This window comes from Homo sapiens, chromosome 20, assembly GCF_000001405.40.
Source record: "Homo sapiens chromosome 20, GRCh38.p14 Primary Assembly".
In the NCBI taxonomy this organism is placed as follows: domain Eukaryota; kingdom Metazoa; phylum Chordata; class Mammalia; order Primates; family Hominidae; genus Homo; species Homo sapiens.
The window spans coordinates 10,458,392-10,479,755 of NC_000020.11; the positions used below are offsets into that span (position 1 = coordinate 10,458,392).

At 41.0% G+C, this 21,364-nt stretch overlaps 1 protein-coding gene across 1 annotated transcript in view, besides 1 other annotated feature; it reads left to right on the top strand.

Moving 5' to 3' along the window:
- SLX4IP (SLX4 interacting protein) overlaps window positions 1–21,364 on the top strand; it is a 192,726-nt gene that overhangs the window by 23,087 nt on the left and 148,275 nt on the right. The gene's annotated exons all lie outside the window — the stretch shown is intronic.
- Window positions 8,181–8,880: an enhancer, noted in NCBI's record as "OCT4-NANOG-H3K27ac hESC enhancer chr20:10447220-10447919 (GRCh37/hg19 assembly coordinates)". NCBI's record gives its function as "activates a minimal SCP1, AML or CMV promoter by ChIP-STARR-seq in naive H9 embryonic stem cells {active_cell/tissue: H9 hESC(naive)}" and the evidence as "EXISTENCE:reporter gene assay evidence [ECO:0000049][PMID:30033119]".

Here is a 21,364-nt window from a genome sequence, read left to right on the forward strand (position 1 = left end):
TGTGCAGGATGCGCAGGTTTGTTACATAGGTAAACATGTGCCACAGTGGTTTGTTGCACAGATCATCCCATGACTTAGGTATTAAGCCCAGTGTCCATTAGCTATTCTTCCTGATGTTCTCCCTCCCCCTTCCCCCACAACAGGTCCCAGTGTGTGCTGTTTCCCCCCATGTGTCTATGTGTTCTCATTCAGCTCCCACTTATAAGTTAGACTATGCAGTATTTGGTTTTCTGTTCTTGCATTAGTTTGTTGAGGATAATGCCTTCCAGCTCCATCCACGTCCCTGCAAAGGACATGATTTTGTTCCTTTTTATGGCTGCTTAGTATTCCATGGTGTATATGTACCACATTTTCTTTATCCGTTTTTTCACTGATGGGCATTTAGGTTGATTCCATGTCTTTGCTATTGTGACTAGTGCTGCAATGAACATACGCATGCATGTTTCTTTATAATAGAATGATTTATATCTTGGGAGGTATATACCCGGTAATGGGATTGCTGGGTCAAATGGCATATCTGCCTCTAGATCTTTAGGGAATCGCCACACTGTCTTCCATAATAGTTGAACTAATTTACACTCCCACCAACAGTGTAAAAATATTCCTTTTTCTCCGCAATCTCACCAGCATCTGTTGTTTCCTGACTTTTTAATAATCGCCATTCTCACTGGCGTGAGATGGTATTGCATTGTTTTGGATTTGCATTTCTTTAATGATCAGTGATGTTGAGCTTTTTTTCATATATTTGCTGGCTACACGAATGTCCTTTTTTCAGAAGAGTCTATTTACGTCCTTTGCCTACTTTTTAATGGCGTCATTTGTTTTTTTTCTTGTAAGTTTGTTTAAGTTCCTTGTAGACTCTGGATATTAGACCTTTGTCAAATGGATAGCTTGCAAATATTTTCTCCCATTCTGTAGGTTGTCTGTTCACTGTGATGATAGTTTCTTTTGCTGTGCAGAAGCTCTTTAGTTTAGTTTGATCCCATTTGTCAATTTTTGCTTTTGTTGCAATTGCTTTTGGTGTTTTGGGGACTTGACAATTTTAAGTAGGCATATGGAAAATTTATATTTTGAGAATGAGACGGCGGAGAAAATGTTCATATGGTTATGAGGCGTTCCTTGCTTCATCTTTTAAAGATGCTTTTTGGTCATCACTTGGTCTTTACTGTTAAAAACTATCATTCATATTCCATGTCCATGGCTTGATTTCTCATTATGTCAAAGCAGATAAAAGGTTGAAGCAAAAGAAGTAATCAGCAAATTCTCTACCTGGGTAAATGCCAGGAGAGTTCTCTTGCCTGGTTGCCCTCTTTCATTTTCCTCTTATAAATGTCCCTTGTTTGTTCCTTGATGGCTGGGGTTGAGACCTTCTCAGGTGTGGATAGATGGGAGGCTCCTGTGTGAGGGATAGTGGGAAGGGAGAAGAGAAGAACTGATGATGAGTGCAAGATCTTGGAGATGCTTTCATATATGTTGGTGTTTCTTTAGGACATTTTCTGTATGCTAGTCTTACCATAAGTGCAAGTTCAAAACATCAAAATATAAATTACAATAGCTAGTTGGCCAGATTAGATACTATGTAATATTATAGCTCTGTCTTATTTTTAACCAAGTCAGTGCTTATTTAGATTTACTAACATATTTATAAATTTCATTGCTTTCAGTTGTTTTTTGTATCCATATATATATTCTTTAGTATTTCTTTCTGTGAAGGCATGTAAGTGATGAACTTTCACTATTTGTGTGTCTAAAAATGTATTTGGTCTCACCCTAGAAAGATATTTGGTTGGTTTTAGAATTCTAGGTTGAGCATTATTTTCCAACAACAGTTTAAAGATAATTTTTAATTTTCTTCTGGCATCTTTTATTACTACTGAGAAATGTTTTCATTATGTATTGATGCTTAAATCCACCTTAAAACTTAGTGGCTTGAAACACGAACCATTTTATAATCTCTCCTGATTCTGTAGGTTGCCTAGCATCAATTGAGTAATTTTTCCTTTTGATGTTGGTTGGGGCTGCAGTTCTACTTAGGGACTCAACTTAGGTGGAAAATGAAAGATGGCATACTCAGTGCAGTTGATGCTGGCTTTGGTTGGAATCATTGCTGGATCTGTTAATTGTTGTCCTTTAGTTCTCATCCACGTGCCTGTTCTGCATGGCTTGGGCATCTACCCCGGTGGCTGAGTTTTGAGGGGTAGCATCTTAAGACTTGCACAATGAAAGAAGTATAATTTGTCAGTCCTCTGAAGGCCTAGATGCAGACATCTCAGATGCCACTTCTGTGGACTTCCATTGATCAGAGCATTCACAGGGTCAGCCTAGAGTCAGGGGAAGCTGCACTCTTGACTTGAGAAGCAGTATTTTCTCACAGGGATTGGGAGAATTGTTGGGGTGCGTCTATGGAGACTACTCACCTCAGAAGTTCACTGTTGGCCTGATCTGATTCCTTCTTGGTTATCTGTCTTTCTTCTCTGATTGCTCTTAAGATTTATTTTTGTCTTTGCTCTTCTATAGTTTCACTATGAAATCTCTAGTTATAGTCTTGTTTTTATTCTGGCTTGGGATAAAATGTATGTCTTCAATTTGATGGCTCAAGTCATCAGTTTTGGAAAATTCTTGACCATTTTCTCTGCCTCTCCTAATTCTCTCTGTTCTCTTCTTATAGAGAACTTTTATTTGAAGTTTGTTGGATAGTCTCATATGACTTTATTATATGCTAGAGGAGTGAGATTAATTTTTCCAAGACTGAGCCCTGGTAGTCTGTCTGCTCAGAAAAGGGCTGGGCTTCTTGCAAAACTCTGTTGAAACTGGCTATGGCCAAGTAGGGCAGACCATCCTGGTCAACCATGAAACTTGGACGTGAGGCCCCTAATTATGCAAGAGATGGGTCTGTTCCATACCCATGGAAATGGCATATTCTGCTACCATATTATCCCATCTTATAGTGATGCCTGCAAGGCTTGGAACAAAGCTTCCAGATCATGGCAGGCAGAGGAGTTGCCTCAACCGTGAGTATCAGGCTAGCATAATAGGGATAGGGACAGGGTTCTGACACATCGTATTGAAGGCTCTGCACATCACTTTGTGGTTGTATTTCTGCCTCTGACAGGCTAGGGACCAGTGGTTCTCTAATCATGTACCTTACTTAGAAGCTCCGTGACTCAAGCATGGGGATCCCTTTTTAAATATCTGACATGAAGTTTTGCCAGGTTTCTGTGCTCTGCTCCAGGGTATCATGAGCAGCAGGAGACCTGCACACCTGCTACTGATGTTGTCAGACATGCTTTCTTCCCAGGGAACACTGCTCCTGAAGTCTTGTGTGAGTGCTGTGTGGCCAGTGGCCAATTGCCTTTCCCTGTTTTTCTTTTCCTTATTACTTTGAGAGTGCTTTTTTCCTCTCTGAAACAGGATCTCACTCAGTCGCCCAGGCTGGAGTGCAGTGGTGTGAATATGGCTCACTTCAGCCTTGACCTCCTGGGCTTAAGCAGTCCTCCTGCCTTAGCCTCCTGAGTAGCTGGGACCACAGGCATGCACCACCACTCTCGGCTAATTTTTTTTATTTTTAAATTTTTGTAGAGATGGAGTCTCAGAGCGAAAAAGGAAGGTATTACATATAACCACAAAACAAGGTTAGGATGTTACGAACTAGGGAAATTCCCAAGAACAAGAAAGAGCTCTTATAAATTAAAAACATAATATAAATGAAAATATGATAAAGTATGGGGCAAACACCAAGGAACACTGCCCAGAAAGTAGAACAAAAAGATAATAGATTAAAAAATTGAGGAGAAAACCACAAGAAAATTAGAGTTTCAGTCTTGATATGAAAAATTGGAGTTCTAGAAAGAAAAACAAATGGTTGAGAAAATATTATGAAAGAAATAATGCAATACAATTTACTGGAAGTGGAGGATACAAACTTCCTGTTTGAAAGAGCTGTGAGTGAATACACAATAAAGTCAATGAAAAAGAGTTGTGCTAAGGTATATCATCCTAAAATTTCAGAACACTGGGAATTTAGAGAAGAACTTAAAAAGCAAACAGATTACAGACAGAGAATCAAGAATCAGAACACCCTTCTCAACAGCAATAACTAGGAGACAGTAGAACAATACCTTTAATATTTTAGGAAAAATGGTTTCCAACCAAGAATTCCCTTTACAGCCCAACTTTCAGTCACATGGTAGAATAGAGACATTTATTTTTAGGATGCAGAATGTAGAAAACACTTCCCTTCTGATGCACACTGTTTTAGAAAGGATGTGGTCTTCCAAAATAGGGGAATAAACAGAGAAAGAATCAGATATGGGATCCAGGAAATAGGGAACCAGTCAGATGAGGGCCTAACCAAATTCCTTGATGATTACTGTGTATTTTGCCTAGAAAGTGTAAGGGTGGAAAGGGTATGATCCTTTCTTCCCCATCATGGAGGGTCACAGTCAGCACTCCTGTAACAAAAGAATAAGTTAACTAAGGAAAGCATAACAAATTTATTATGTGCACACAAGTGCATGGGAGTCATACAAAATATGAACACTCAAAAGCTGGATGTGATGGCATATGCCTGTAGTCCCAGCCATTTGGGGAGGCTGAGGCAGAAGATTTGCTTGAGCCCAGGAGTTTGAGTTCAGCCTGGGCAACATAGAGAGACCCTGTCTCTAAAAACAACAACAACAAGAAAAGAAAACCCAAAGAGCCAGACGGTTGACCCTTAATACCCTCTTCGTTGGGGAGAGGGAACTGGGAGATATAGGGGTAACTGATTTTTAGGGGAAATGAATGGACTCGAGAGACAGAAATTAACTTGTAAATGATTCTCTTTAGAATTTGAATGAGCCGAGAAGCAGATAATACCTAGTTGAAATGCCTGTCCACTGTGTGGTTGCATTCTTTAGTCTTCTCTGCTATAGATAATTTCAGGGAATATGGAAGGCAATTGTGTTCCTCTTTGGGTATCCAGTTTCTGGGCAGATAATAGAGCTTCAGCGGAGAGCCTCATCTTGTGCTTTGGGAGAGATAACGGATTGAGAGGAGGAGGGGAGGAGGTCAGAGAGACCTTGCTGCTGCTTTTTTAGTTTAGCATGTCAAAGTGTTATATTTCTGGGTATTGGTTTCTGAACTGCAACCAAAGTAACCAGTCCTATTGGAAGAAGACAGAGGGTTCCATGAAAGATTTCTTCAACAAAAAATGAAATGAATAAAATACATCATGTATTTAAATGCATTGAGAAGAGATTTTTTTAGGCCTGTCAGGTAGCATGGGAATGATTTAGTCATAGGAATATAGAAAACTAAACAAAAGAAAAATGATGCAACCCTCAGTTCTCAGTAAACAAAAGATTGTGCAAGATAGGAAATTAAGCATAGTATACTACGTGGCTCAACTTTTTGTTCTTCTTGTTATAGAGATGGGGTCTTGCCCTGTTGCTCAGGCTGGAATGCAGTGGCACAGTCATAACTCACTGCGGCCTTGAACTCCTAGGCTCAAGTGATCCTCCTGCATGGTTCAGCTTTGAACAGAGGTTACATTTCATAATATTGTGAACTCCAAGTTTTGGAAGGCTGGGGAAGGAAACATGTGGGAGGGCAGGTATAAGGATTAAGTCTTCATTTTCCACATAAAGTATATAAAACTGAAATAATAAGACATTCGTAGGATAAACATAGTGTTTAGAAATATGTTGGCAAATTACCAGATCAAAAAGCTAAGTTTCAGTGTGGTTGCCCATGGTGAGTGAGAGTTGGAGTGAGAGAGGGGGCTGGATGAGGCAGAAGAGGCCATTTTGTTTTTTTGTTTGTTTGTTTGTTTGAAAGATGGGGTCTCCTTATGCTGCCCAGTCTGATCTTGAACTACTGGGCTCAAACAATCCTCCTGCCTCAGCCTCCTGAGTAGCTGGGACTACAGATGTGCACCACTACACCCAGCTTGAGACCTCACTTTGATATGTCGTTTTAATATGTGTCTATGCATTAATATAAAAATTAAGTGCATAAATAAAATGTAGGCTGCGTACAGTGGTTCACATCTGTAATCCCTGCATTTTGGAAGGCCCAGGAGGGAGGATCACTTGAGGCCAGGAGTTAGAGACCAGCAGCCTGAGTAACATAGTGAGACCCCATCTCTAAATTAAAAACAATAATAATAAATAACATTTAAAAGGAATTAATTAACTTATGCAAATTTTTCACATAGATGCAGCCACTTTTGACTGGGTTGAAAAGTACTTGGTTAGAGCAGGGTTTCAAAGTAACAGAAAAATTGATGAACACCAAATAGTTTGACACTTCATCTGGGTTGTTTATTCTAAGACTGCCCTTGGAATGGCATTAATTATTCATGCAAACGACTTACCCATCTGACCTTCCTGCATATGAATACTTTTTTTTTGTTTTTAAGGGCTGTGGTTCTGGCCTTGAATTCTTTTTTTTAATCACTATTTTTTAGAGACAGGATCTCGTTATGTTGCACAGGCTGAACATGAACTCCTGGGCTCAAACTGTCCTCCCGACTTGGCCTCCTACGTAGCTGGGACTACAGGCGGCACTGCCACCGCACAGCTGGCTCTTGAACTCTTTCAAGAGTTGAAGACTCTTCTGAGGCCAGACTTCCAGGAAATGGCAGTAGTGCATGAGATGTAGGAATCCTTGGAAGTATAACTTTCAGGGTCTATAGACTTCTGGGCTACTGCAGCTTCTAGCAGGGAGGTATGTCCTGTACTTCAGTGAGTGACTCTTATTTTAACTGAAAGAAGTGGTAGCAGCAGGCGCATCTCCCCAAGGCTTCATAGCAATCTTAAACCCAAGCTTTGCACCCACCCCAGTGTTTTAAAATTTCCAAAATAATAAACTCTTTAGGGTAGGGAAAAGATCTAGACCAGAGATCTGCAAATTACAGCCCACATGCCAGCTGCTTGTTTTTGTAAATAATGTTTTACCGGAATCCAGCCACTCCCACTTGTTTACATATCATCCCTGGCTGCTTTTATGCTACAATGAAGTGGAGGGTTGAGTAGTTGAAACAAAGACCTTATTGCTTGCAAAGTCTGAAATAAACACACTCACACACACTGATTTATGTATAGAATATGTATACAAATATATCTTTTATTTATCTATTTTTTTGAGATTGAGTCTCGCTTGTTGCTCTGTCGCCCAGGTTGGAGTGCGGTGGCAAGATCTTGGCTCACTGCAACCTCTGCCTCCCAGGTTCAAGTGATTCTCTTGTCTCAGCCTCCCAAGTAGCTGGGATTACAGGCACATGCCGCCATGCCCAGCTAATTTTTGTATTTTTAGTAGAGATGAGGTTTTGCCATGTTGGCCAGGCTGGTCTCAAACTCCTGACTTTTAGTGATCCGCCTGCCTCTGCATTCCAAAGTGATGGGATTATAGGCGTGAGCCACTGTGCCCGGCCTACAAATATATCTTTTACAGCACATCTCAATTCCTATTAGCTGCATTTCAAATGTTCAGTAGGCACCACTGGCTAGTATCGGCTGTATTGGCCAACACAGATCTAAATTGCTGTATCCTTGGTACTCCTACCTCCTGGTACCTTATCAGAATAAGCATTCAATGAAGTTACCTTGGGTTAAACTGGCTGCAGGTGTGGGGTAAGTTAGCAAGGCCAAGGTAAAGCCATTTCCTTTGCAAGAAATAGACATGGACACATAATGTAATAGTCATGAATGTTTATCCATTAAAACAAAACTTTAGTAAAATAAAAAAGAAATCCAAATATCAAATTATTGTTAAAAGTGTCAAGTGATACACATGGTGTCTACCTCAGGAAAGTTTATGTGTCCACCCGCTGCCTTAGAGGCATTTGAAAAAGTATAGAATGTTGCCAGGGTCGCTCTCAATAATAATTCTAACTTATGATTTTGAATTTAAATTTTGGGTCCCAGCGGAGCAGTGCTGTGAAAGTTTCCTACCTCATTGTGTGTCTCTGTAGATAATTTCCTCTGCTTCCTGCATCTGTTTTCTTGGATTAGTTAGGTATTATACTAAAGTCTAGAATTCTTTTGGCTGCAGAGCTTTCTCTGCTGCTTCCCTTCCCCCCCAACCTACTTTATTGTGGGTGGGAAAATTTTTGTTGGGAGGGCTTGATTAATTAGAAGGGATTCCTGGCTTCCCTAGCGGTGGCAGCCTGGGAAGATTACAGAGCCTGGCTTAGTGACAGGCCAGTCTGTATTTAAGGAAAAACTCGGACCCGCCAGATTTCTCTGGAATGTGCATCTGGCTTTGTCTTCTACAGGGAATGTGTAATGATCCCCTCCTCTTTCTTCCCACCCATTCCAGGAGGCTAAACGCTTTTACTTTTGCTCTTGATGGGGTTGTCTACTTTTTATTTTGGGAGAGGGGAGGGCTGGAATTTAGGGGTGGGAAGCTTGAGTCGTTTTCTGAATCTAAAGTAAAAGATTTAAGGTTTTATTAATATTTAGGAGGAAAGGAGAGATTTTATTAAAAAAAAAAGAACTCCCTGCATCTTTACTATCAATGTTTTTCTTTCCACTCTTTCAGAGCAATTATAGTTTTATATTCTTCTCTGAATTTCAGTTAACCTTAGTCTTCACATTCCTTAGAACACCACAAAAAGAGAAATAAGCCTAAGAATTGACAATGATTTCCCCTTTATAGTAAAAGTATAGAGCAGCTCTTTAAACTTTCAGAGAAAGAGACAGTTGAATGGTAAATGGGTAATCACTAGGCTTTTGTCTTGCTAGTTTGCCTCAAGGAATCACTTAAATCCTGTGTCCTAGGTTTTTTCGTCTACTTAAATGGGAACGTGGTACTGACTATTATCAGTGCTCATTTGAAAATGGCTGCGTTGATTTTGTGTATCACATTGAAAAGATTTATGCAATTATTTTCATATCAATTGAGTTCTAGGTACTGATTTTTCTACACATTTTAAGAAAGAATAAAACTGAAGTGCCTAAACAGAATAAATCACAAACATTTTAAATGGTTATATTCCTTACTGGAAATAACTTTGGAGTGTGCAACCTTTGTCCCGAAGAATGATTTTACAGAGATTTGTCCCTGTGAAACTTTTAAAGTGAAAGAAGTACCTCTATATTTCTTCTCCTGATACTTAAAGTCTGCATCTTCCAATTCCTCCTTAATTTCATGTATTCCTTGTAAGAGCTTTATGTTTTAAAGACATACAGGGTCAATGCGAGTTTGCAGAGTGGTTGATGCTATGCCCAAACTAACATAGGATGCTGTTTTCCCATTCAGTATCATTGTTCTATTGCTTTGCTCATGCTGGAAGCTGTATTTAAGTAAGTATGTGCTGATTTCGTGAAAGAATTGAAATAAAATTAGTAAAAGTTTTCACACCAGCAGTCACCCAATGAGTTTTATCTCAGGCTTAGAGCTTTTAGATACCTTCTCACTCTGTAAGGCATCTGCTCTGAGTGTTGATGACTTTGAAACAAAGTTCTTGGACTTGAAATTAATTTTTTTTTTCTAAGAGTTCTCTCTGCCTTTCTGGCCAGACACCCAGTTTTCTAGGCTTCATTTTCCCAGTCCTTTCCTCATGTGATAATAGATAAACTAGTCTGTTCTTTTTTTGGATGACTAAAAATGTGTAAATACAGCTCTGGCTTCTTATCCTCCTTTTTAGTCTCAACTTTCCACCTGCCTCCAAGAAGTTTCTGCCTACATTGATCCCTAAAACTTCAAACAAAGAACTGAGTTTATCATGGCTTTCATCTAAGCTGATTTTTGCTTTGAAAGTCTCTGATGCTGCCTCCACACACCCTGGGCTTGCCAAATGATGTCTCGTCCTTCATTCTTTAGTCACTTACTAAACGCATTCCTGCTCTGCAGAGCATCTTGAATTTACTCCTCTTAGAAATTCAAGCCTTTATTGTCCTTGTTTTTATGTCCATGTTAATCTCTGAGGACCTCTGTGCCTCTCTTCTCTTACCATTCCAGTTCATCTAGACAAGTGCCAGGGTAATGTTTTCTTAACATCATATTCATCATGTTACTTCCTTGCTTAGGTGATCAGGGTAATTCCTTTTGTTTAAATGGATCTAATCTGAACTCTCCAGCTAGACGTAAGGCATTCTGATAATTACTCTCCCCTTCCTTTTTAACTTGGACCCATGTTTGTTTTCATCTTGGAACTGGGGAACGTGGCCCACTTATTCCTGTGAAACTAATGCATTTGCATTTCCTGCAGTCATCTGGCTTTTCTGTGGTTTTCCCTCTGTTTGCTATCTCTCACCTTTTCTTCCTTGGTCCACACCCTTCAGCTTTTTCCAAGCTTGACCAGTGAATGACTTGCTTTTTCTTTGTTACACATCTAAACCTTTCCCATATTGATTTCTCTCTTGCTATGTGTTTTTTTGACTGTTATGTGCAGTTTATGTTATGTTTTATATATATTTCCAATTTGTTTTCTTTCCTAAGAACATCATCTTGAGGTGATATACATCTGCTTTTATATACATTATGCCTAGCCACATTCCCTGGGAAGAAGGAGCTGTCCTATGCTTCTTTCATATCTGCACAGACCTTGAATAATCTAAAGCAGGGGTGTCCAATCTTTTGGCTTCCCTGGGCCACACTGGAAGAAGAATTGTCTTGGGCCACACATAAAATACACTTATACTAACAATAGCTTTAAAAAAAAATCGCAAAAAAAATCTCATAATGTTTTAAGAAAGTTTACACATTTGTGTTGGGCTGCATTCAAAGCCATCCTGGGCAGCGAGTTGGACAAGTGTGGTCTAAAGCATTTCTGAAGTGCCCAGTACCCCCCACTTTCCTTGTCCCAAAGATGACAAGTTTCTTCGTCTTGGCTCATAGAGAACAGGGAAGTCACTCCAGCTTTGGATTATTTCTTACTGGTCTTTTTTTCAGTTCCAGTCAGGGAATGTTGTAATCTTCAATTTGTGGTATATTTGTTTTTTTAAAAAAAAAATCATCTCAACCTATTTCTCCTTTTAGGAGTCCACAGTTCCACTTTGAAAATATTTTTAATAATTCTTTTGAAAATAATCTCTATTAATAATCAAGATGACAATCCATAGAATTTGCTTCTATATGCTTCAGAAAAGTAAAATGTTTCAGTATAATGGTTTTGATTGTCTAGACATTATATTTTATTTTAATAATTTCTTAGTGTTAGACCTTGATACTTTTAATTTTTTCCAACATATGTACAAAGCATGTGTTTTTATTACTTATTCTAGTGTAAAAATTAATTCTTACCAGAAAAGTAAACTCAGGATCTCTTACCAAATAGATGAACTCAGTAAGCACCTTGGATTCTCTCTGAGGGCTGTAGGGGGCATCATTGTTCCAATGTTTTATAAAGTATCTTCCCGCTGTGATCTAAAGAAGCACAGCAACTAAAGTGCTTTTACAGTCGTTGGCTCGTGCCCACGTTACTATGACATCCTAAATGCCTGTTTGTTTGCCTGGTGGTTGTATGTGCACACTTGCATCCCTAGCCTTTTATGAATGTGTATATTTAGATTGCTTCTGTCATAGAGTCCTCCTCACTAGGATGTACCACCACCAAACACCGAGGGAAGACAGTCCCAACGACGAAAACTATCCAAAGTGGCCCCAGGGAAAGCATTCTCAGAGTGACACAAGACTGCCTCTTCAGTACTTCCTTTCCAGATTCAGGAACCTGGAGATGATGGTCGGAGAGTAAGGATCCTCTTTGTCCTTTGAAAGCTTTGGGACCCCAGTTCCGCCCTGGTCCCAGCAGTAAGGGCTGGAGGGGGCCAGTCGAGTCTGGAAAGAAATCCTTGAAGTCATAGTTTTATTACCATTACTGCTCATCCGACTCACCTTTCCTTTTTGTTATTATTACTCTTAGTTTGGGGGATGCTTGGTTGAGAAAGTGAGGGATGGGGTAGCGATTGAGAGTGTCCTTGCAATTTACAGTCCCAGAGAATTCCATGGAAATGACATTCCATTGAAATGGCAAAAACGTACAGCAGCGTAGCCGTCATTAGCCAAATAATGTAACGATGCATAGTGTTTGCTAATTGTGCTTTGAGATACTTCTCTAGTAGTAGGCTCTTGGAATATCCATGATTAAGTAATACAGGAAGCTAGGCCTCTATATGTGTCACTTTGTCCCATGTGAGTGTCATGTGACAAAAACACTGATTTTCAGACTGTTGGAAATAATCAGGTTATTAATAGTTACCTTAAACACTCACATACACACATGCACACACTTGTGCTATATTTTGCGAGTTTAATATGAGGTGAAAAAAGAATGTCATGCTGTTTGTTCCACAGTGGAATAGCATTATATAGATTCTGGTAAGGTATGTACCAGGTCTAGCATCCGGATCCTTATTACCTGAAAAATTCACCATATGTTACTGATTAGTATTGAGATCATGTCTGGTTCTAAATTTTTGTGGTTCTCTAAATCTATTCATTTTACTCTAGGTTCTTTGATAGCACTTCTTGAAATTTAGATCATCAAGTCTTTGAGGAAAGGATTCTAGAAAATTAAAATATCAGACTTTTAATCAGGATTCCTGAATGCATGTTGTGGTTTCACTTTTGAAAACTGGATGACTTTGGGTGAATTTTATTACCCCTTTGAGCATCTTATTTCTTCAGCTATAAGGTAGGATTAACAGCAGTGTCTGTTTTACAGGGTTTCTTTTGGATATCAAATTAATATAAAAGACATAATGCTGTGAAAGTGGGAAAATAACATTTTATGCATGTCTTAGGCTGTCAGTAATTATTTTATTATCTTACAGTGACATGCTGTATGGTATTTGAGGGACTTGGCCTTGACTTATTTGTTCCTGGTCTCATAATTCTTGGGAGTGAGGAGTAGTCTAATTCTTTTCATATGTGAGGGCTCAATTAGCAAATCTTTATTTATCCTCATCATGCAAGGCCCTGGGTTAGGCACTATAGACACAGATGAGGCTGATGATTGCCCATCCCTAACCTCAGGTAGTTTGCAGTGAGAAATTAATGTGTCAAACTAATATCATTAAATAAAGGTTAGTGAAAAAGAGATACCAGAGCACCCAGCATAGCTGGGTTATGACCAGATGAGCCCAGTAATTTTTTTCAGACATGTTTCTGAATGGGATGTTGTGGAAAAGCCATAGGGCAGCCAGTCTGTTGGGTGCACTATTTGTTAATCAGTTTATACTTTGGGCTACAGTGGCAGGTGGTCAGGATTAGAAGTTAGGGTTGTTAGATTTTAGTCCTTGCTATTGATTCCTATCTAGGGGCAAGTCAGCTAGCCTCTTTTGTTTCCGTTATCTGTATCTGTGTGACAAAGAAGCCCCACTATTCTCATATTTCAATGGGTCAGAAAATCCAGCTGGGCAGTTTTTCTGCTTTATTTGTCTTTGGCTGGGGTCAATCACTCAGATGCATTTGGTTACTGACCAGGCTACAAAGCTCTAGAAGACTTCACTCACATGTTTAGTTCTTCTCAATGATACCCTCTCTCTTCACAAGGTGTCTCATCACTCAGTAATCTGGCTTGAGCTCCCTTACAACATGGCATCTAGCTTCCCCAGAGCACATGAAAGTGGAAGCTGCCAGCTTCCTAAGGGCTACCTCTGGAACTGGCACACTATTATTTCCACTGTATTCTATTGGGCAGCAAATCACAAGGTCAAGAGGAGAGGAAATAACTGCCTCTTGATGGAAGGAGCAGCGTACCTCCAGAGGAGGGAAGGGATTGTTGGTGGCCATCTTTGGAAATTGTTTAGTGTAGTTTTCTTATTTGTTTATTATAGTTTTCTTATCTATTAAATGAGATGTTGAATTAGGGAGTTTCTAAGGGCCTGTCAAACTCTACATTTCCGTAATACTATACTTTTTTTTTTTTTTGAGATGGAGTCTGGCTCTGTCGCCCAGGCTCGAGTGCAGTGGCACGATCTCGGCTTACTGCAACCTGTGCCTCCCAGGTTCACGCTATTCTCCTGCCTTAGCCTCCCGAGTAGCTGGGACTACAGTCGCCTGCCACCACGCCCGGCTAATTTTTTGTATTTTTAGTAGAGACAGAGTTTCACAGTGTTAGCCAGGATGGTCTTGATCTCCTGACCTCGTGATCTGCGTGCCTTGGACTCCCAAAGTGCTGGGATTACAGACGTGAACCACCATGCCCGGCCTGGTAATACTATACATTTTTATTTAAGGGATTTTTGTGTGCATGGTATAATGGAAATAATTTGGCCTTTGGAGGCAGAAAGGCCTGGGTTTGAACCAGGGCCTTAAGATTGACCAGCACCTTGGGAAGTGACTTGAGTCTTTCTGAGCTTTTGTACACATCTGTTAAATAATAGGGTTAATTAAATAGGATTAATGTTAACTCACTTCTATAATAATTGTCCATCTTAGCACAGAGTCACGACCCAGAAGGTGTTAGCACCCATCCCTTTTCCCTTCTTTGTTACCTGATACAGGCCTTTTAAAGCCAACAATAGTTAAAGATATTCATTGAGGTTTTTTTGTTTTGTTTTGTTTCATTCAAGTATAAAAATGTTTAGGTGTTTAATTGTGTTTTGCAGATGCTGGCTTATTTTTCTAAGACCAGGAGTTCAAACAAAACTGTTAAGTTTGTTTATCTGTTTTGTTGTTATAAATTGTCCTTAGAACATTGTTGCTATTAAGAAAGCAGGCTTAAAAATAACTTAATTTGAAAAATGCATTTTGGTCTGTGAACAGCTGAGTTATTTGGCATTCTAGTAACTTTTGTCTGGAAGAAAAAAATAGCTGTGGGGCATGGCCAGCATTCGGTCTGGCTGTTATACGCTGTGGTGGTACTTAGCTTGTGAACCAGGCCTGATAGGTGAGACTGGGCATGCACTTCTACTCACAGGCTAAATGGTTGAAACCACTGGGGTCAGAAAGCTCAGCAACTAAGGGCAGTAGGAGAAAAGAAAATCTCTGTTGTCTCTAAAGCACTGGTTCTCAGTGTATTCCCTGGACCAGCAGCATTAGTATCTCCCACAGTCATTGCAGTGATTTTATTGTACTGGTTATTGAGAGGGTTAAATAAAAGGATTCGTATAAAGTGTTTAGCACAGTACCAAGTAACCATTTTAGTAAGTGTTAGGCATTATTAGTAATATTCATCTTCATTGTCATAAATATTGATAATCATTGTGGTTAATATTTTTCTGCCAGAGTGTGTCTTGAAGCAGCTTATTCTGCAATTCTTCTTAAAACTGCCAGAGTTCTGTTTCTTTTTTTTTTTTTTGAGACAGAGTCTCACTGTGTCACCCAGGCTGGAATGCAGTGGTGTAATCACGGCTCACTGCAACCTTCACCTCCCAGGTTCAAGCAATTCTCCTGCCTCAGCCTCCCAAGTAGCTGGGATTACAGGCGCCTGCCACCACGCCTGGCTAATTTTTAAAAAATGTTTAGTAGAGACGGGGTTTCACCATGTTGGCCCGGCTGGTTGGTCTTCTTTTTTTTTTTGAAAGGAGTCTTGCTCTGTCGCCCAGGCTAGAGTGTGGTGGCGTGATCTTGGCTCACTGCAACCTCCGCCTCATGGGTTCAGGCGATTCTCCTGCTTCAGCCTTCCAAGTAGCTGGGATTACAGACACACGCCACCATGCCTGGCTAATTTTTGTATTTTTAGTAGAGATGGGATTTCACCATGTTGGCCAGACTGGTCTCAAACTCCTGACCTCAGATGACCCACCTGCCTCAGCATTCCAAAGTGCTGGGATTACAGGCGTGAGCCACGGTGCTCGGCCTCAGGCTGGTCTTGAACTCCTGACCTGAGGTGATCCATCCTCCTTGGCCTCCCAAAGTGCTGGGTTTACAGGCATGAGCCACCATTCCTGGCCAAAGCTGCCTGAGTTCTGATTAGTTCTTTTTAAAAGCTTATGAATGGTGTGCTGGTCTAACAATATTTCAAGTTGTCAAGTAAGAAGGAGCTTCTTACAAAAGCCCATCGTTCTGAACAAGATATTCTTCAGTCCAAAATAATATTGAGAGATCACATAACACAGCTATGCAGATATATTCTAAGCCCTAACTTCGTGGGAGTCATTAATGCCATTTAATGAGGCCCCATACAATGTCTGAACTCTGGAGTTTGCTTTTAAGAGCCATTCTTTCCTAGACCCCCTTCCCTTCTTTACTTTAGGTATTGATGTCCTCCATTTACATCTCTGTGGAGTTTTTTCCTTTTTCTTTTTTCCCCCGCTCCCATTTGTGGTCAAATAAGGATCATGGTTAACCCCAGAAGGAAGGCCAGATGGGCCTTGGGGGCCTGGGCTGGGGCTGGAGCCTCTCCACTTCCGCCGGCCGCCTTGTTCACTTCCTTTTTTTCCCTCCCTTACCACTATGTTGCAGCCAAACTTCCGAAGTGAAAAGCAGTTTATTCCATCTAATCGGGGCTGCTGAATCAGAGGTGTTGGGGGTGTTCCCTGGGATGATGCTGCCCTTTGGCCACTGATCTCTGTATCATAGCTTACCTCGGCCTCCCTCTGGCGCCACCATCCAGGACTGGAAGCATTTGCTTTTCCTCAGGGAGCCGTGGGTTCAGGCCATGGGTGGTGAGAGAGTCTCATCTTCTCCAGCTTCCTGGTCCTCAGACTTGAGTAACACTCCTTATCCTCTGTCTGTTGCCTTCTTTGGGCAAGCACGTGGAGCCGCTCAAGTAAAGCTGCTCTTCATTGGGAATATTATCTGCCAAGGCTAAGCCAGGATCCCTAGAGAGCATCCAAGTCAGGGCTTTCAGCAGAGTTCCCTGGAAGCACTGCATTCTGTGGAGGGCCAGAGCCAGATCCCTGTCTCTGCTCCAGCCGACAGCTCGGCCACCATCAGTTTGGTGTATTGAGGTCATGCATAGAATTTAACATTGAAAAACATCCTTGTTCAGCTCCTTCAGTGATGAGATGAGAATCCCTGGGGAGTGGAAAGTGAGGATCTCAGAAGTTGCCCAAGGGAACTTAGTGTCTTATTTAGAGTCATAATAACTAGCTTAGACTAGCGTAACTGCTAGTCAAGGCTCTTTGGAAGGAAGTAACACCCACGCAAACTACTAGAACTTGAAATGGGCAGTTTATGATAAGGGAGTGTGACTGTCTCAGCATACTGGCATCAGTGTGCTATTGAGCTGGTGAGGGCCTGGAGGTAGCTTCAGGTTGCCCATGGCCCTGAGGCAGCTTCACTGTGGGCCTCTCTTTGAGAAGTGGGATTCTGGTCTTTGCATCTTCCTTGTTATTCTCCCTCTGCTGGCCTCTCTCTGCTCCTTTGTTCATGTTGCAGAAGATAGTGGCTCCTCACCTCCCAAGTGACATATCCTACAAAACTGCTGCACTTTCTGCCCCAATAGCAAACTTCTGGAGGTGAATTTGGGCAGATGTCCACTTTTGCTTCATCGATTGTGGCACGGGGCAGTGTCACATGGTAAATACATGGCTGCCCATGCCCACCCTTGAGCATGACAGCTGTCAGAAAGAGGGGCATAGATTCCCCCAGAAGTTACATGATAGTACTTTACAATTTAGAGACTTTGCTGGAAAGTTTCTTTTTGGCAGTCTCATAGACAGGCCTTTTTACAGAACATAGTAATGAGCACTTACAGTTTGTAGAGAGGCCTCGGGGGCATCCAAGAGGTAGCTGGAATAATCTGACCCTTGAGAAGCTTCTCTTGGTTCCTGGGGATGACGATGGTCATAATTAACTGCTTTACTTACAACTTGGCAATGTGTTTTATTATCGGTGTGCATTTTGAAGTGTTTTAAGGTTTTTCACATCCCTCACTGTGTGTGTGTGTGTATATATATATCTGTTATGATAATTAAACCAAATATTGTAAAAGTCAAGAAAAGTGTCAAAGAGGATGTCATTCTACTAAACTTTTTTGAATGGCTACTCTTTGATGATCTTGTGAGTTGGGAGAGGACCCAACCTTCAGTAGCATGAATCTGGTCTTAAATCTTAAATTTTGAAGCACTGAATGCATTGCAAAGTGTCCCATAGTCATCTATGAGTGTGCATATTTGCTTTTGACTCAGCATTCCATTTGTACTTCCTCCACAACAAAAAATGCATTGTAGCTTTAGTATTTTTAATTGTCACCAAGTAGTACTGCTAGCCATTGTGCAAAGTCTACCAACAGCTGATAAAATGATTACATTTTTAAAGGTTGCTGGATGGAATCAGATGTTGCTGTATCAGTTCCTATGCCGCGTGTGTCTGTTTCACTTCCCATAATGACTGATTCTCCACCTGCCATGACAGTGCATTCTTGATCTGCTGCGCCCTCCTTGGGTTGGGGACTGGAATATTTATTTTTAGGAAAAGTTAAAATTATCCAGAGAAGGGTGCTTTCTGTAAAATTTACATGAATCAGCCTCTTATTGCAGAGATCATGGGAGATGTGTGTGTGTGTAGATAAAAAAAACTCAATGGAAAAATGTAAAACTGTTAAAGGGAAGGAATATAATGAACATTGTTTTACCCATCACTATCTTTAACATTGTGGGCACTTTTAAATTAACTAGTATTCAAACTAAATGTGTGTTTAATAAAAGTGAATGGTACTACATAACATTAATGCTTTTGCAGTTAAGCTAGATTTTCCAAATTTCAGCAAAACCAAGAGTCTTAGCTCCTTCCTTCAGTCTTCAGTTTAAATTCTAAGAAATATTATTCGAAGTTTAAGAGGTCTTATTAGGGCATTAATGTGGGTTTTCCCGTATCAAGAGCAGACACAGGTTTTTGGTGTCTTAGGTTCTAAAGATACCAGTGTTCCTTAGATTTCTGACCTGACTGTGAAGGGAATTCTCTTTTTTTTTTGAGACGGAGTTTCGCTCTTTTAGTGGCATGATTTCGGCTCACTGCAACCTCCGCCTCCTGGGTTCAAGTGATTCTTCTGCCTCAGCCTCCTGAGTAGCTGGGTTACAGGTATGCACCACCACGCCTGGCTAATTTTTGTATTTTTAGTAGAGACGGGATTTCACCATGTTGGTCAGGCTGGTCTCAAACTCTTGACCTCATGATCTGCTCACGTTGGCCTCCCAAAGTGCTAGGATTACAGGCATGAGCTGATTTTTTGTGTTTTTAGTAGAAATGGGGTTTAACCATGTTAGCCAGGCTGGTCTTGAACTCCTGACCTCAGGTGATCCGCTTGCCTCTGCCTCCCAAAGTGCTGGGATTACAGGCGTGAGCCACCGTGCCCGGCCGAAGGGAATTCTTGTTAGGCTATTGCACAGTTGTCAGATGGACCTGACTGCTTCTCATCTCTAGGATCTTGGTTCCTTCTCTCCAATATGGGGATAATAAGTGTCAATCTTCATGGGGTTGTTACATAAAAGGTTTCTAACACAATGCCTGGCAACTGGTAAGCATTTACCAAATAAATAAGCCTTAGCTTAATTAGTAATCAAAGATACCAGCTGGGAAACATATCTATTTTAAGATTATATAGGCTCCTTCTCATCCTCTTTGGGCATTTTATTTCAGCTGCTTAAGATGTGAAATCTGTGTGTTGTGGTGTTCCTTGTTACAATCTCCCTTTTTTTTTTTTTTTTTGAAACGGAGTCTTGCTCTATCGCCCATGCTGGAGTGGGAGTGGCGTGATCTTGGCTCACTGCAACCTCCGCTTCCCAGGTTCAAGCAATTCTCCTGCCTCAGCCTCCAGAGTAGCTGGGACTACAGGTGCACTCTGCCACGCCTGGCTAATTTTTTGTATTTTAGTAGAGATGGGGTTTCACCGTGTTGCCCAGGCTGGTCTTGAACTCCTGAGCTCAGGCATTCCACCCGCCTCAGCCTCCCAAAGTGCTCGGATTACAGGTGTGAGCCACCGCGCCCGGCCAAGCTCTCTTTTAAAAGCTTTTTTTGTGACAGCAAAAGAAAGGGAGCTAAGATTGACTACCTAATAAAGTAGGTGTTTTTCACATTTTCATGTGTTTCCTATTTAGTTCAGTAGGTGTTTTTCCTGTTTAGTTCTCACAACACTGTGAAGTACATGTTACTGTTGACATGTCACAGATGTGACAGGCAGTGAGATTGAGTAATTTGCTCAGTTGGGAGGTAGAGAATGTGAAAAGCAGGTTTCAAGCCTGGGGTCTCTGACTCAAAGGCATATGCTTTGATGAAGATCGAAACTCTAGCTACAAGCTTGTGAAGATATTAATTTAGAATCATCCTTGTCCAGTAATAACACAACTACTTATAGTGGTTTGTAATTTTAAACATTTTATTAATATTAACTATATTACATTTACTAACCATGTTAAAATATGTTCTCTTGGGAGGTAGGCAGCACAGGTAACATTGTTAAAGAAGGGGCCCTGGAGCCTCTGATTCTTGTTCTTTATTGTCCTTGCCCCTCAGTAAAAAATCCTTTAGGAAAACAGATGCGTTGATGACTGTGCTGGTCAAAGGTCAATTTTGGACCCCAGACTCCTTTGTAAAAGCTTAATGAATCTGACCAACTCTTCTAAGCTCTTCTAGAGGTAGCTGCCACTCCCAAGGGAGAGATTCTTGAGCTCCTTTGGCTTACCAAGTGGGATGGGGTGAGATGGTATGCAAAGAGGGAAGGTGAAAGAAAGAAGGGGGTCAGTCTTGGAGAAAAAGGCGTATTACCTCTATTCAGGTAGAAGCAAGAGAAAACTGCCTAAAACCTGGGATTCCAGGGATGAGCTTGCCAATCCTCCCCCTACTCAGGCCTCTGCCCAGATTCGGGACTGGCATTGGAGAAGGAGTTAGGGAGACCTTGAGAAGTGGTTAGGACGGTGGACTCCACCTAGAGGCAAGTAGTGACTCTGATTCCTTCCCATATGACAAACCAGCCTTCTGGGAAAGGTGAGGACAGTCTGGGTAAGTCATCTGCGGATGCAAAATGAAAATCTGTATTGTATAACTTCTAGGGTCTTAGTATACTTCTTTTTTTGTTTGGTAAATTAAAAACTGAAATGCATAAAGAAGAAAAATTTCCATATTCTCATCGCTCAAATTCCATATTTCTTTTTTTTTTTTTTTTTTGAGATGGAGTCTCACTCTGTCACCCAGGCTGGAGTACAGTGGCACAATCTCAGCTCACTGCAACCTCCGCCTCCTGGGTTCAAGCAATTCTTCTGCCTCAGCCTCCTGAGTAGCTGAGACTACAGGCGTGCACCACCACGCTCAGCTAATTTTTTGTATTTTTAGTAGACGGGATTTCACCATGTTGGCCAGGCTGGTCTTGAACTCCTGACCTTGTGATCCGCCTGCCTTGGCTCCCAAAGTCCTGGGATTACAGGCGTGAGCCACGTCCCGGCTCGAATTGCATATTTCTATTACTGTTAACATGTTACAGTATTATCATCCAGGCTCTTATTTAAAAACAGGCAAACAGAGGCCGGGTGTGGTGGCTCACGCCTGTAATCCC